Source organism: Homo sapiens, chromosome 1 (assembly GCF_000001405.40).
Source record: "Homo sapiens chromosome 1, GRCh38.p14 Primary Assembly".
Classification (NCBI taxonomy): Eukaryota; Metazoa; Chordata; class Mammalia; order Primates; family Hominidae; genus Homo; species Homo sapiens.
Window position 1 is genome coordinate 155,360,839 of NC_000001.11, and position 17,035 is coordinate 155,377,873.

At 43.3% G+C, this 17,035-nt stretch overlaps 1 protein-coding gene across 13 annotated transcripts in view; it reads right to left on the bottom strand.

The window, feature by feature from the left end:
* ASH1L (ASH1 like histone lysine methyltransferase) overlaps positions 1-17,035 on the bottom strand; it is a 227,935-nt gene that overhangs the window by 25,571 nt on the left and 185,329 nt on the right. For all 13 annotated transcript variants that reach the window (XM_047425248.1, XM_017001785.2, XM_006711450.4 and 10 more), the window contains 2 exons: positions 9,939-10,145; positions 9,666-9,812 (listed from right to left, as the gene is read on the bottom strand). In XM_047425248.1, coding sequence (XP_047281204.1) covers positions 9,666-9,812; positions 9,939-10,145 — 354 coding nt within the window. The remainder of the gene's footprint in view (positions 1-9,665; positions 9,813-9,938; positions 10,146-17,035) is intronic.

A 17,035-nucleotide genomic window follows, 5' to 3' on the forward strand; every position in this document is an offset into this window, starting at 1 on the left:
CAATTAGGCTTCAACTTTTCCTGCTTGGTATTCAAAGTCCTAAAATATGGCTTGCCTGTATTCCCCGCACTTTGGGAGGTTGAGGTGGGAGGATCACCTGAGGCCAAGAGTTCAAGACCAGACCAGGCGCCGTAGCTCACGCCTGTAATCCCAGCACTTTGGGAGTCCGAGGCAGGTGGATCACCTGAGGTCGGGAGTTTGAGACCAGCGTGGCCAACAGGGCAAAACCGTCTCTACTAAAAATATAAAAATTAGCCAGGCGAGGCCACATGCAGTGGCTCACACCTGTAATCCCAGCATTTTGGGAGGCCGAGGAGGGCAGATCATGAGGTCAGGAGTTCAAGACCAGCCAGGCCAACATAGTGAAACCCCGTCTCTACTAAAAATACAAAAATTAAGGCCGGGTATGGTGGCTCACACCTGTAATATCAGCACTTTGGGAGGCTGAGGCAGGCAGATCACGAAGTCAGGAGTTCGAGACCAGCCTGACCAATATGGTGAAACCCCATCTCTACTAAAAACACAAAAATTAGCCGGGCATGGTGGTGTGCACCTGTAATCCCAGCTACTTAGGAGGTTGAGGCAGGAGAATAGCTTGAACCTGGGAGGCGGAGGTTGCAGTGAGTCAAGATTGCACCACTGCACTCCAGCCTGGGTGACAGAGTGAGACTCCATCTCACAAAAAAAAAAAAAAAAAAAAAAAAAAAAAAATTAGCCAGGCATGGTGGCATGTGCCTATACTCCCAGCTACTCGGGAGGCTGAGGCAGGAGAATCGCTTGAACCCGGGAGGCGGAGGTTGCGGTGAGCCAAGATCCTGCCACTGCACTCTAGCCTAGCCTGGGCAACAGGACGAGACTCCATCTCAAAAAACAAACAAACAAAAACTAGACAGGTGTGGTGGCGCATGTCTGCAATCCCAGCTACTTGGGAGGCTGAGGCAGGAGAATGACTTGAACCCCTGAGGCAGAGGTTGCAGTGAGCTGAGATCATGCCACTGCATTCCAGCCTAGGCAACAGAGCGAGACTCCGTCTCAAAAAAAAAAAAAAAAAAAAGGCTTAGTTCACTTATTAAATGAGTTAAAATTACTTTTTATGGCTTACCTATACAAATCTTCCAGTTCTACCAATCTCTATCACATGAGTGCCTCTCTTGTTCTATTATATGTAAGGTAATGATCATTTAGGATTTTAGGTGTTTTTTTGTTTATTGTTTTTGAGACATAGTCTTGCTCTGTCCCCAGGCTGGAGTGCAGTGGCAGAATCTCGGCTCACTGCAACCTCCAACTCCCGGGTTCAAGAGATTCTCCTACCTCAGCTTCCTGAGTAGCTGGAATATAGGCACGTGCCACCACGCCCAGCTACTTTTTCATATTTTTAGTAGAGACAGGGTTTCATCATGTTGGCCAGTACGGTCTCAATCTCCTGAGCTCGTGATCCGCCCGCCTTGGCCTCCCAAAGTGCTGAGATTACAGGCATGAGCCACCGTGCTTGACTTTGTTTTAGGTGTTCAGGAGTTTGTGACTCGCCTGGGCAACATAGTGAGACCTTATCTTAATATATTAAAAAAAAAAAAAGAATATAGTCATTATCATTATAGCTAACATTTACTGAATGCTTTTTATAACATTTTATATTATTTCATCCTCCTAACAATTATATAAAAATATGTAATATTATTAGTTATTATAACCCTCATACTACAAATAAGGCAACTGAGGCACACAGGGAGCCACTTGCCCAAAGTTACACAGCTGATAACTTAGGGAATCAAGTTTCAAATTGACATTGTGGCTTCAAAATCTTAACTACCATGCCATACTGATAACAAGTTATATCATCAATTCTCAAAACAATCCTATAGAAAAAACCCCAATCCTGTAAGATAGGCATTATGATATCTATTTTATATATGAAGTATATACGCCTCAGAGTTTGTTTAGTTATATAGCAATTAAGTGGCATTCAAACCCAGGGGATTAAAACCCAGGCTGTTTGACTCAGCCTTTTTCTTCTTGTCTCCTTACCAATGTGGAACACATTAAGGGTTAGCTTAGATACTGCCCTATTACATGTAACCTTGCCTAAAATTTTTAATTTTTAGTATTTTTCCATCCTGAATTCAGAAAGCATTTAAAAATTTTTATTTATTTATTTATTTTTTGAAATGGAGTTTTGCTCTTGTTGCCCAGGCTGGAGTGTAATGGCGGGAACTTGGCTCACTGCAACCTCCGCCTCCTGTGTTCAAGCGATTCTCCTGCCTCAGCCTCCCAAGTAGCTGGGATTACAGGCACATGCCACCACGCCTGGCTAATTTTGTATTTTTAGTACAGACGGGATTTCTCCACGTTGGTCAGGCTGGTCTCGAACTCCTGACCTCTCGTGATCCGCCTGCCTTGGCCTCCCAAAATGCTGGGATTATAGGCGTGAGCCACCGCGCCTGGCTAATTTTTTATTTTTAAACAGTATCTCACTCTTGTATAGGCTGGAGTACAGTGGCGCAATCTCAGCTCCCTGCAACCTCTGCCTCCTGGGCTGAAGTGATCCTCCCACCTCGCCACCACGACTAGCTAATTTTTGTATTTTTAGTAAAGACAGGGTTTAGCCATGTTGCCCAGGCTGGTCTCAAACTCCTGAGCTCAGATGATCTGCTTGCCTCGGCCTCCCAAAGTGCTGCGATTACAGGCATGACCCACGGAGCCTGGCTGCAGAAAGCATTTTAAATGTATACCAGGAGTTGGCAAACTGCTCCACAGGCCACTGCTCCCATCTTTGTGAATAGTTTTATAGGTGCAAAGCCAACAAGTTTGCTGATATATACTGTAACTTTTCTTTTTTTTTGAGACAGAGTCTTGATCTGTCACCTACCTTCATGCCTGTAATCCCAGCACTTTGGGAGGCCTAGGTGGGCAGATCACTTGAGGCCAGGAGTTCGAGACCAGCCTGGACAACATGGCGAAACACTGTCTCTACTAAAAATATAAAAATTAGCCGGGTGTAGGGACGCATGCCTTTAGTTACAGCTACTCAGGAGGCTGAGGCACGAGAATCGCTTGAACCCAGGAGGCGGAAGTTGTGGTGAGCCAAAATGGTGCCACTGCATTCCAGCCTGGGCGACAGAGCAAGACTCTGTCTCAAAAAAACAAAAACAAAAAACCAAAAAAAGGTATCTTCTGGCCGGGTGTTGTGGCTCATACCTGTAATCCCAGCACTTTGGGAGACTGAGCAATGAGGATCGCTTGAGCCCAAGAGTTTGAGACCAGCCTGGGCAACATGGCAAAACTCCATCCCTATCAAAAAATACAAAAATTAGCCGGGCAGGGTGGCATGCACCTGTGGTCCCAGCTACTTGGGAAGCTGAGGTTGCAGTGAGTCAAGATCGTCCCACTGTACTTCAACCCTGGTGACAGAGTGAGACCTTGTCTCCAAAAGAAGGGGAGAAAAAGATATCTTCTAGTTGACATTCTTGCACAAGTCTAGCACAAACACTAATTTCCGCTGGGGACATACTTAGGATTAGAGTTGCTGGTTTACCGGTTATGTTTAGCTTTGGTAGGTTGTGCCATTTTTTGAAAGTGGTTATACCAATTTACACTTCTACCAGCAAATCTAAGAGCATTTATGCTGCTCTACCTTTGCCAATACTGTCAGTCTTTAATTTTTTACATTTTGGAGGGTATGTAGTGGTTTTCCAATTTAGTTTAATATTTCCCCTAATAACTGTATCTAACATATTAAGCGCTGTTGTATATTTATTGACCACTTTGATATTCTTTTTTAAAGTACCCATTCTTTTACCTATTTTAAAAACTGGCTTGTCAGGCCCGGCATGGTGGCTCACACTTGCAATCCCAACACTTTGGAAGGCTGAAGCGGGCTGACTTATTGAGCCCAGGAGTTCAAGACCAGCCTGGACAACATGGCACAACCCTGTCTCTACAAAAAATACAAAAAAATTAACCAGGCATGGTGGTGTGTGCCTGTAGTCTCAGCTACTCAGGAGGCTGAGGCAGGTGAACGGCTTGAACCTGGGAGGAGGAGGCTGCAGTGAGCCAAGATCATACCACTGTACTCCAGCTCTGTCTTAAAAAAAAAAAAAAAAAAAAAGGCTGCTCTGCGCCTATGGAGTAGCCATTCTTTTATTCCTTTACTTTCTTAATAAACTTGCTTTCACTTTATTCTATGGACTCACCTTGAATTCTTTCTTGTGTTCTTTCTTGTGCGAGATCCAAGAACCCTCCCTTGGAGTCTGGATCAGAACCCCTTTCTGGCATCTTTCTGGCGATCACGAAGGGATGATACTTAAGAGACCCACAACCCAAAGGAAATAGACTGCAACACTGATTGGCTGAAACTTTTGAGTTACTGACAGCTTTGTTTTTTTTTGAGATGGAGTTTTGCTCTTGTCGCTCAGGCTGGAGTGCAGTGGCACAATCTCAGCTCACTGCAACCTCCACCTCCTGGGTTCAAGCGATTCTCCTGCCTCAGCCTCCTGAGTAGCTGGGACTACAGGTGTATGCCACTATGCCCGGCTGATTTTTTTTTTTTTTTTTTTTTTGTATTTTTAGTAGAGATGGGGTTTCACCATTTTGGCCAGGCTAGTCTCGAACTCCTGACCTCAGGTGATCAACCTGCCTCAGCCTCCCAAAGTGCTGGGATTACAGGCATGAGCCACCATGCCTGGCATATTGACAGTTCTTAACAATTGAGTAAAACTCCTGTGAACAAAATTTAAAGGATGTTTGTTTCCCTCTACCTCATTTCTCCAAAATCTGGAAACCAGATGATACAATTGGAGAAACTGGTTATTTTACCAAGGCTTTGATTGGAATGGAGTGCTTTCTATTAAGGAACCAAACTTGGCTTAGAGAGCCAATAAAAGCCCCTTGGGAAAACTGGCCTCATACCTTTTCCACAAAGTCCCTGTATAGGGTTCCTGACCCGTGATATCACCTTTTGTCAGAACTATGAATGGCCCTTACCATACTGACACTTTCTGACTGATCTCTTCTCTACCTTGGATACAAGAGACCCTAATAGGCAGGAATATCATCACCGCTATTCAACCTGAAGAAATTACTAAAGATGGATCTTCATCCCTGTTTACCCCTAAGGATTAAGGGTTCTCTTATAAAAGGGAGGGGGAAAATGTCAGAAGCGTTTAAACCAGAGCGACTCCATCTTGTATAGAGGTTGGGTAAAATTAGGCTGAGATCTGCTGGGTTGCATTCCCAATAGGTTAGGCATTCTTAGTTACAGGATAAGACAGGAGGTTGGCACAAAATACAGGTCATAAAGACCTTGCTGACAAAACAGGCTGCAGTAAAGACGCTAGCCAAAACCCATCAAAACTAAGATGGCAACGAGAGTGACATCTGGGCGTCCTCACTACTACACTCCCATCAGTGCCATGACAGTTAACAAACACTATGGCAACGTCAGAAAGTTACTCTATATGGTCTAAAAAGTGGAGGAACCCTTAGGTCTGCGAATTGTCCACCACTTTCCCAGAAAACTCATGCATAATCCAACCCGTGTTTAGCATATAATCTATAAAGAACCATAAAGATGGGCAACCAGCAGCCCTCGGGGCTGCTCTGTTTATGGAATAGCCTTTCTTTTCTTTTATTCCTTTACTTTCTTAATAAACTTCCTTTCACTTAAAAAAAACTGCCAACACTCAACCCTTGAACATTGTGTATTTTTCCATTAATTTAGGTCATCTTTATTTTTTCCCAACTTCTGACAGCTTCTAGTATAGAGGTCCTACAAACTTTCATAAGATTTATTCTTAGGGACTAGTCTTTTATGAAGCTATTGTAAATTGTATTGGTTTTTATTTATTTATTTATTTTGACACGGAGTCTTGGTGTGTCACACAGGCTGGAGTGCAGTGGCACGATCTCGGCTCACTGCAAACTCTGCCTCCGGAGTTGAAGCAATTCTCCTGCCCCAGCCTCCAATAGCTGGGACTATAGGCGTGTGCCACCACAACCAGCTAATTTTTGTATTTTAAGTAGAGACAGGGTTTCAGTCATCATGTTGGCTAGGGTGGTCTCGAACTCCTGACCTCAGGCAATCTGTGCATCTTGGCCTCTGAAAGTGCTGAGATTACAGGCGTGAGCCATTGCAACTAGCCTGTAATGGGTTTGGTTTTTTTTTTTTTTTTTTTTTTGAGATGGAGTCTTGCTCTGTCACACAGGCTGGAGTGCATTGGTGCAATCTCAGTTCACTACAACCTCCGCCTCCCAGGTTCAAGTGATTCTCTTGCCTCAGCCTCCCAAGTAGCTGGGACTACAGGTGCATGCCACCATGCCCGGCTAATTTTTATATTTTTAGTAGAGACAGGGTTTCACCATGTTGGTCAGACTGGTCTCAAACTCCTGACCTCATGATCCGCTCGCCTTGGCCTCCCAAAGTGCTGGGATTATAGGCGTAAGCCACTGCACCTGGCCTTGTAATGGTTTTTAAATTTCACTTTCTACTTGGTTGTTGCTAATATATTAAAATGTACTCAATACATTAATTTTTATATACTGACCATCTTTCCATTAATCTTGCTAAATTCACTTATGTCTGTAGAAATTTCCCATGTGTATAATAATGTCATCTGCGAATAATGGTAGTTAAATTTTTTTTCATTTCTAATCTTTATACTTTTTTCCTTTTCTTATTGTATTGGTTAGACTCTTCAAATGTAGATATGACAGTGGATATCCTTATTTATGTATAATGGTAGCTAAAGATTTTTTAAAAATGGATTTCCTTTGGCAGATTTGTTAGTTCCTTTTTATTCCTAGTTTGCTGAGTTTTAATTATCAATGAGTGTTGAATACTGTTTAATGCTTTTTCTGCTTCTATTGAGACAATATATGATTTTTTGTCTTTAGTCCATTATTGTGATAAAATTACATTGGTTTACACTGATTTTTGAATGTTAAACCAAACAATCTTTTATTCCTGGAATAAACCCCACATAGTCATGATGTATTAAGCTTTTTATTTATTGTTAAATTTTATTTGTTGATATTTTATTTAGGATTTTTGTGTCTATGTTCATGGAACACACTGGCCTATATTTTTTCCTGGTTAGATTTTAGAAGAAGGTAATGCTAGTTTTATAGAAGCAAAGAGTTTATAAGTGGTACTGCCATTATTTCTTCTTCTTCGTCTTCATTTTTTTAAATAGACACAGGGTCTCTGTCACCCAGGCTGGAGTGCAGTTGCATGATCACAGGAAACTACAGCCTCGAACTTCTGGGCTCAGGCGATCCTACCACCTCAGTCTCCCAAGTAGCACCATCACACCCAGCTAATATTTAAATTTTATCTTTAAATTTTTGTTGAGACAGGTCTCACCATCTTGCCTAGGCTGGTCTTGAACTCCTGGGCTCAAGCAATCCTCCCACCTCTACCTCCCAAAGTGCTGGGATTGCAGGTGTGAGCCACTGCACCCAGCCTATTTGTTCTTTAAGTATGTGGAAGAATTATCAGTGAAGACATCTGGTTCTCCAGGTTCTTTTGTTAGATATTTTAGTTACATTTTCAATTTTGGGGGTACATGTGCAGATTTTCTATTTTGTCTTATGTCAGTTTTGGAAAGGTATGTTTTTCTTTTTCTTTCTTCTTTTTTTTTTTTGAGACTGAGTCTCACTCTGTTGCCCAGGCTGGGGTGTAGTGGCACCATCTTGGCTCACTGCAACCTCCGCCTCGCGGGTTCAAGCAATTCTCTGCCACAGCCTCCTGAGCAGCTGGGATTACAAGCGCCTACCACCACGCCCGGCTAATTTTTGTATTTTTGGTAGAGATGGGGTTTCACCGTCTTGGCCAGGCTGGTCTTGAACTCCTGACCTTGTGATCCACCCACCTCGGCCTCCCAAAGTGCTGGGATTATAGGCGTGAGCCACTGTGCCCGGCTGGAATGTTTTTCAAAGGATTTGTTCATTTCATCTAACTTTTCAAATATAAAGTTGTTCACAGTAATTGATAAACAAACTGGTAAATTCACACAAAGAAGTATTACTCCACATTAAAAAGTAACAAACCACTAATGCATTCAACATGGATGAACTGCAAAAACATGTTTTTAACAAAAAAGACGCCAGACACAAAAGAATACATTCACATGAAGTTCTGGAATAGGTAAAACTCATCTGTGGCAATGGAAATCAGATCAGTGCTTGCTTTGGGGGATTGGGAGATTGACTTAAAAGGTAACTTTCTGAAATGACAAAGTATGTCATATTTTCATAGGGGTGTTGGTTATATGGGTGTATACATTTGAAAAAATTAATGGAAATGTACACTTAAGATCTATGTATTTCTAGACGGGCGCGGTGGCTCACGCCTGTAATCCCAGCACTTTGGGAGGCCGAGGCGGGCGGATCACAAGGTCAGGAGATCGAGACCATCCTGGCTAACACAGTGAAACCCCGTCTCTACTAAAAATACAAAAAAGAAATTAGCCGGGCGTGGTGGCAGGTGCCTGTAGTCCCAGCTACTGGGCAGGCTGAGGCAGGAGAGTGGCATGAACCCAGGAGGCAGAGCTTGCAGTGAGCTGAGATCGCGCCACTGCACTCCAGCCTGGGCAACAGAGCGAGACTCCGTCTCAAAAAAAAAAAAAAGTCTATGTATTTCTCTGTATATGAATTACACTTTAATTTTTAAAAACTTAACAAAAAACCCCAAAGTTGTTCATACTATCCTCATATTATCTTTTTAAAATTATTTTTTAGGTGTGACTTTTTTCCTTCTCAATTAGATGCTAATCTATTTGAGGGGAAGGGACCTCCAGATTCACTTTTTTTATTTCTCTTTGTGAGAAATGCACCAGGTATTTAATAAGCATGCAGTAGAGTGGCTGAATGAACTGATATGAGATGATCCATGTAACACAGTGCCTAGCACATAGTAAGAACTCAATAAATATTAGGTATTATTATTATTTTTTTGAGATGGAGTCTTGCTCTGTCACCCAGATTGGAGTACACTGGTGTGATCTCAGCTCACTGCAACCTCGGCCTCCCGGGTTCAAGTAATTCTCCTGCCTCAGCCTCCCAAGTAGCTGGGATTATAGGTGCACGCTACCATGAGTGGCTAATTTTTGTATGTTTAGTAGAGATGGGTTTCACCATGTTGGTCAGGCTGGTCTCAAACTCTTGACCTCGTGATCCGCCCACCTTGGCCTCCCAAAGTGCTGGGATTACAGGCATGAGCCAACACACCCGGCCTATTATCATTATTTTTTGTTTTTGATTTTTTCTTGCTATGTTGCCCAGACTGGCCTGAAACTCCTGGGCTCAAGTGATCCTCTCACCTCAACCTCTCAAATAGCTGGGACTACAGGTGTGTACCACCACCCTGGCTATCATCATCATCATTATTATATTTTTCTAGGACATAGATCCTGAAACTACTTGCATGCCAAACAAAAAAACCAAAAAAGCAAAACAAAAAAACAGAACACAAATAAAAACAAAAATATCTGTCTGGGAGTGAGAAGTTAGGGTGAAAACGAAGCAGCTTACTCTGCCCGTGGGATCTGGGGTAATGGGGAACAGCCTGAGCTGCTTTGTGTAAGCTGACTGACACTGGAAAGATCAATCCCTTGCTGCACTCAATGCTTATTCTGCTGGATTCTTGTCTTCACCTTCTTTTGCTTCCTTACCATTTCTGCATTTCACAATTTGGGTCACAGCTATGGTTGATGAATCGGGCCTCATTTCCCATGCGGTAACTGTCAATCACCATCCCACTATCCAGGTTCAGGCAGTAGTGGTCACTGTGATTATGATACTGCTCAATCATCCTGTTCCTAAAGAGAAGATAAATGATTGAAAGACAATTAAAGAGTAGCTGAAAGTAAATTTCACATCTTCCATTCTCCATTCTAATCTTATACCTTGGCATTTTATTAGAGTATCATCATTTACCACCGTACCTGAACTCCTGTTCACTGACGACCTCCCCTAGGTATTCAATGATGAACTGCCCAGCTTTTAGGGGCTCTTTGGTTCTGATTCCCCAACCTTTTTCCTCAGCTCGAAATCGTTCTAGACATTGCACCCATTCATGCCTCTGTATCCTCTGGTTACAGCATTGCTCGCCACATGGGCAAGTGTTGGGGGAACACTCAGCAAAGATCATTCTAGAAAAAAAAGGAATAACTGTACATCAACTTACATGATACATACCTTGATGCATCCATTTTTAAATTTTACAAACATTTAAAAATGAATACATGAAATCAATTTTTATTTAATAAAAGTACCCGAATCACTAAGATTAAAATAATAAATGTCAAAAATTAATAATATTCAGAATTTCCAAGTCGGGCTGCAAATCCTGAATGCTTCTTGTAAATGATTAAGCTAACTGTCCACTCAGCATCCTGGGTAAACATTATCATATTTATCTATTCCAAGAATAAGGCTGGGCAAGGTGGCTCATGCCTGTAATCCCAGCACTTTGGGAGGCTGAGGTGGGTGGATTACCTGAGGTCAGGAGTTCAAGACTAGCCTGGCCAACATGGTGAAACCCTGTCTCTACTAAAAATACAAAAATTAGCTGGGTGTGGTGGTGTGCACCTGTAATCCCAGCTACTTGGGAGGCTGAGGCAGGAGAGTCCCTTGAACCTGTGAGGTGGAGGTCGCAGTAAGCAGAGATCGCACCACTGCGCTCCAGCCTGGGCGACAGAGTGAGACTCCGTCTCAAAATAAATAAATAAAATAAATAAATAAATAACTGTGATCCAAAGAAGAATCAGTAATTTGATGATGATTTCACTGTACTCTTATTTTGAAGCACTCATGCCCATTTACTGATTTAAAAAAAAATTGTGGTAGAATACCTAATTTACTTTTTTTTTTTTTTTTTGAGATGGAATCTGGCTCTGTTGCCCAGGCTGGAGTATATTGGCACAATCTCGGCTCACTGCAAACTCCGCTTCCCAGGTTCAAGAGATTCTCCTGCCTCAGCCTCCCGAGTAGCTGGGATTACAGATGTGTGTCACCACACCCGGCTATTTTTTGTATTTTCAGTAGAGACAGGGTTTTACCATGTTGGCCAGGCTGGTCTCAAACTCCCAACCTCAGGTGATCCGCCTGCCTCGGCCTCCCAAAGTGCTAGGATTACAAGCTTGTGAACCACTGCACCCGGCCGCTAATTTACTCTTATTTATTTTTTTGAGACGGAGTCTCACTCCATTGCCCAGGCTGGAGTGCAGTGGCATGATCTCAGCTCACTGCAACCTCTGTCCTCTGGGTTCAAGCAATTCTACTGCCTTATCTGGGATTACAGGCGCATACCACAACACCCGGGTAATTTTTGTATTTTTAGTAGAGATGGGGTTTCACCATGTTGGCCAGGCTGGTTTCGAACTCCTGACCCCAAATGATCCACCCACCTCAGCCTCCCAAAATGCTGGGATTACTGGCATGAGCCACTGTGCCCAGCCAGTTTTTTTTTTTTTTAATTTATTTTTATTTTTTTGAGGCAAAGTCTCGCTCTGTCACCCAGGCTGGAGTGCAGTGGCTAAATTTCAGCTCACTACAACCTCTGCCTCCTGGATTCAAGGGATTCTCCTGCCTCAGCTTCCCAAGTAGCTGGGATTACAGACATGCACCACTACGCCCAGCTAATTTTCGTATTTGTAGTAGAGACGAGGTTTTGCCATGTTGGCCAGGCTGGTCTCGAACTCCTGGCCTCAAGTGATCCGCCCACCTCAGCCTCTCAAAGTTCTGGGATTACAGGCGTGAGCCATTGTGCCTGGCCTTTTTTTTTTTTAATTAAAGAGGGGGAAGTCTCCCTCTGTCACCCAGACTGGGGTGCAGTGGCCTGATCACAGCCTACTGTAGCCTCGAACTCCTTGGCTCAAGGGATCCATCCTGCCTCGGCCTCCTGAGTAGGTGGGATTACAGGCATGAACTACCACACCCAGCCTTAACCATTTTTAAGAGTACAGTTCAGTGACATTAGGTATATTTGCTGCTGTTGTATTACAGGAATTTTATATTACATTAATTGAAATGACATTTCCAGGCTATATGACTAGCTGAACCCATAGTAGTTAGGGAATTAACAAGTTAAAAATTCTAGATGGGTGCAGTGGCTCATGCCTGTAATCCCAGCACTTTAGGGGGCAGAGGCAGGAGGATCATGTGAGGTCAGGAGTTCAAGACCAGCCTGACCAAGGTGGCGAAACCCCATCTCTACTAAAAATACAAAAATTAGCTGGGCGTGGTGGTATGTGCCTATAGTCCCAGCTACTCGGGAGGCTGAGACAGGAGAATTGCTTGAACTTGTCCGGCGGACGTTGCCGTGAGCTGAGATTGCACCACTGTACTCCAGCCTGGGCAAAAGAGTGAGGCTCTGTCTAAAAAAAAAACAAAAAAAAAACAAAAAAAAACTGAACATAGAAGACAAAAGAAGTCACACACATCTTGTCACTGCTTTCTTTACTTTTTTTTTGGAGACAGGGTCTCGCTCTGTCACCCAGGTTGAAGTACAGTGGCACAATAATGGCTCGCTGCAGCTCTGACCACCTGGGCTCAAGCAATTCTCCCACCTCAGCTTCCTGGGTAGCTGGGAACACAGGCGCGCACCACCGCATCTGACTACTTAAAAAAAAAATTATTTGTAGAGGTGAGGTCTTGCTGCTATGTTGCTTAGGCTGGTCTCAAATTCCTGGGGGTCATGGGATCCTCCCTCATCGGCCTCCCAAAATGCTAGGGATTACAGCATTTTGTGAGCCAATGCACCTGGCTGTTTTAATGGGAGCTGTTTAGTTTTGGTGTATGGTTTGAAATCTCATCTAGGCTGTTAAGCATTATTTTTTGGTTTGTTTTTTGGATACAGGGTCTCATTCTGGTTGCCCAGGCTGGAGTGCAGTGGCATGATCTTGGCTCACTGCAGCCTCGACCTCCTGGGCTCAGGTGATTTTCTCACCTCAGCCTCCAGAATAGCTGGGACTATAGGCACACGCCACCATGCCCAGTTGATGTTTTGTATTTTTAGTAAAGATGGGGTTTTTCCATGTTGCCCAGGCTGGTCACAAACTCCTGGACTCAAGTGATCCGCCCACCCTGGCCTTCCAAAATGCTGGATTACAGGCGTAAGCCAACATGCCTGGCCTTAAGCATGACTAAAACAAGGAATGATCAAGAAAATAATCGTCAAAATATCATGTTATATTTATAATAATAATTTTAAAGGCCGGGCACGGTGGCTCATGCCTGTAATCCCAGCACTTTGGGGGGCAGAGGCGGGAGGATCACGTGAGGTCAGGAGTTCGAGATCAGCCTGGCCAACACGGCGAAACCTCGTCTCTATTAAAAATACAAAAATTAGCCAGGCGTGGTGGCAACTGTAATCCCAGCTACTTGGGAGGCGGAGGTAGGAGAATCGCTTGAACCTGGGAGGCAGAGGCTGCAGTGAGCCGAGATGGTGCCACTGCACTCCAGCCTGGGTGACAGAGCGAGACTGTCTCAAAAAAAGGAAAAAAAAAAGTGAAAAGTTTTGTAAAGAAAATATATAACAGTTTATACCTTAAAGTACTTTCAGAGTAATCTGACTTACTCTAAACAAAAATACCACCACGATTCTAAAGGGCACACGGCACACAGTGTCAAATCATGTAAATAGGAGCAGAGAAAGTATCGACTGGATTATTCTTCAATTTAAGATAATCAGCTTCAGCTGTAAAGAAGACAGTGCCTTAACATCAAATTCAACCACCTTTACTCTTCCGTTTGCTGACTTCTTTGGTACATGAATATTATTGAATACCCCTCTTGAAATGCCTTCCTTTTTTGGCTTTCCTCATTTTTTATGATACTGGATTTCCCACCTTGCCAATACCAATTCCTGTCTTTTCTGGTAGAAATCCTTTTTTCCTCTACCATATTCCTTTTTCTAGAGAGCTGATCTATAATCATGGCTTCAAATGTAACCTCTAGTTCATAATATTCCACACCTATATTTTCTTCTTTTCTTTTTTTGACACAGGGTCTCACTCTGTCACCCAGCCTGGAGTACAGTGGCGTGATCACAGCTTACTGTAGCCTCAACCTCCAGGCTCAAGCGATCCTCCCACCTCAGCCTCCCAAGTAGCTGGGACTGCAGGCATGCACCACTATGCCTGCTAACTTTTGTATTTTTTGTAGAGGTGGGGTTTTGCCATGTTGCCCAGGCTGGTCTCAAACTCCTGACCTCAAGTGATCTGCCTACCTCAGCCTCCCAAAGTGTTGGGATTACAGACGTGAGCCACTGTGCTTGGCTGGCACCAAGTATTTTCATAATACCTAATAACACATACTATAAACTGCATCCGGATTTAAAAAAACCCTGAAGTATAAATAAAAGAGTGCTCAGATAAGAGAGATTTAAATTTTAAAAGATTTCTTCCAGGGAACAATCATTCAGAGGTTACTGAAAATTTGTAGTTTCTAGAGTTCAAGGCATTGAAATATATTCCCCATTTGTTTTGACAACCAGAATAAGTCCTTAAATTATATAAAACCAAAACATGTTTCTATTTGTTGTGTCTGGAAACCAAACTAAATTTACCAAAATCTGAAATTAGATGCTGTAAACTACAATGTGAGGTCTTTGATTTAGTACAATTTGTCATTATCTTTAGCCAGATAATGCCCTTGAAAAACGAGAGTTGGGCTGGATGCAGTGGCTCACACCTGTAATCCCAGCACTTTGGGAGGCTGAGGCAAGAGGATCACCTGAGGTCAGGAGTTCGAGACCAGCGTGGTCAACATGGCAAAACCCTGTCTCTACTAAAAATACAAAAATTATTAGCCGGGTGCAGTGGCAGGTGCCTGTAAATCCCAGCTACTCGCAAGGATGAAGGATGAGGCAGGAGAATCGCTTGAACCCGGGAGGTGGAGGCTGCAGTGAGCTGAGATTGTGCCATTGCACTCCAGCCTGGGCAACGAGAATGAAACTTCGTCTCAAAAAAAAAAAAGAAAAATGAGACAGTCGCACCCCAGCCAGCTACTAAACGTAGATCTAGGTTGTCCTTCATATAGTGAGATTTAAGGGTTCAGGACCGGCCTCGGCTAAGTATCGAGATCCCGTCTCTACTTTAAAAATAAATAAAATAAATAAATTAGCCAGGCGTGGTGACACGCGTCTTTAGTCTCAGCTACTCAGGAGGCTAACATGGGAGGATTGCTTGAGTCCGGAAGGTAGAAGTTGTAGTGAGCTGTGATGGCGACACTGCACTCCAGCCTGGGCAACAGAGTGATATCCTGTGTCATAAATAAATAAAAATACTGAGCTTGTGGACCACACTGTTTAATAAAAGTGTGCATTTAAAATATTTGTGAGTAAAGAAAATCAGTATGCAAAACACTATGTGAACCTGTATGTACATAAAATGATAAGGTGTGAATTTACAGTGATGCAGGTAAGGTAGAATTTCCCAACTGGCATGCTGAAGCAGGAAGAACTAAAACATTGATTCCCTTCAGACCACATGGACAGCTGACTAGAGATCAAAGAAGCTACTTTTGGCCATGAGAACTATCCAGAACAGGAAATACTGATGTAAAATTCACTGATTCTTTTTTATTTTGCTGCACATGTGCATTGTTACTAAAACAACAAATTCTATATCCACTCCTTTGTCTATTAGACATTTCTATTTTGAAATTTCAGTGCCGTTTAAAATTATATACTCTCTTGGCCAGGTGTGGTGGCTCATGCCTGTAGTCCCAGCTACTCGGGAGGCTGAGGTAGGAGAATCACTTGAACCTGGGAAGTGGAGGTTGCAGTGAGCTGAGATCGTGCCACCGCACTCCAGCCTGGCGACAGAGCGCGACTCTGTCTCAAAAAAATAAATTAAAAAAATACAAAAATTAGCCAGGCATGGTGGGGGGCACCTGTAATCCCAGCTACTTGGGAGGCTGAGGCAGGAGAATCTCTTGAACCCGGGAGGCAGAGGTTGCAGTGAGCCAAGATCGCGCCACTGCACTCCAGCCTGGGTAACAGAGCTAGACTCCATCTCAGAAAAAGAAAAAAAAAAAATTACAGACTCAAATCAAAGTCATAACTCATAATTCTTTTTTTTTGGGGGGGAGATGGAGTTTCCCTCTTGTTGCCCAGGCTGGAGTGCAATGGCAGGACCTTGGCTCACTGCAACCTCTGCCTCCCAGGTTCAAGCAATTTTCCTGCCTCAGCCTCCCACGTAGCTGGGATTATAGGCATGAGCCACCATGCCCGGCTAATTCTGTATTTTTAGTAGAGATGGGGTTTCTCCATGTTGGTCAGGCTGGTCTTGAACTCCCGACCTCAGGTGACCTGCCTGCCTCAGCCTCCCAAAGTGCTTGGATTATAGGCATGAGCCACCATGCCAGCCAAATTCATAATTCTTATCTCCAATTCAGTTAGATTCCACACTTTATTTTCAGAGAGAGAATATATCCCCATATGAAGAGCATATCCCCTATATGCCGATGGTTTATCAACATACTTTTCTTCTAAAATATATTATGCCCTTCCTCTTCACTCTCACTGCCACTGTCCTATTCTGCTTCCTCATTGTGGCAACCATATATTGAGAGCTAGGAAGGTACCTAGGACTGTGCTTAATGTTTTATGAGCTGGGCACAGTATCACATACCTATAGTTCCAGCTACTCAGGAGGTTGAGGTAGGAGGACTACTTGAGCCCAGGAGTTTGAATCCAGCCTGGGCAACACAGTGAGACCCTATCTCTAAAAAAAACAAAACAAAACAAAACAAAAACCCCAAAACAAGAAAGCCAAAACTTCACAAACATTGTTTATCAACAGTCTCATATAATCTCCACAAACCCTCCATAGAGAAGGTAAGGTATTACTTTTATTAGATGCATTAAATAACTTTTCTCAGGTCTCATAAATAGTAAAAGGATTGGCTGGGCGCGGTGGCTCACGCCTGTAATCCCAGCACTTTGGGAGGCCGAGGCTGGTGGATCACGAGGTCAGATTGAGATCATCCTGGCTAATACGGTGAAATCCCATCTCTACTAAAAATACAAAAAAAA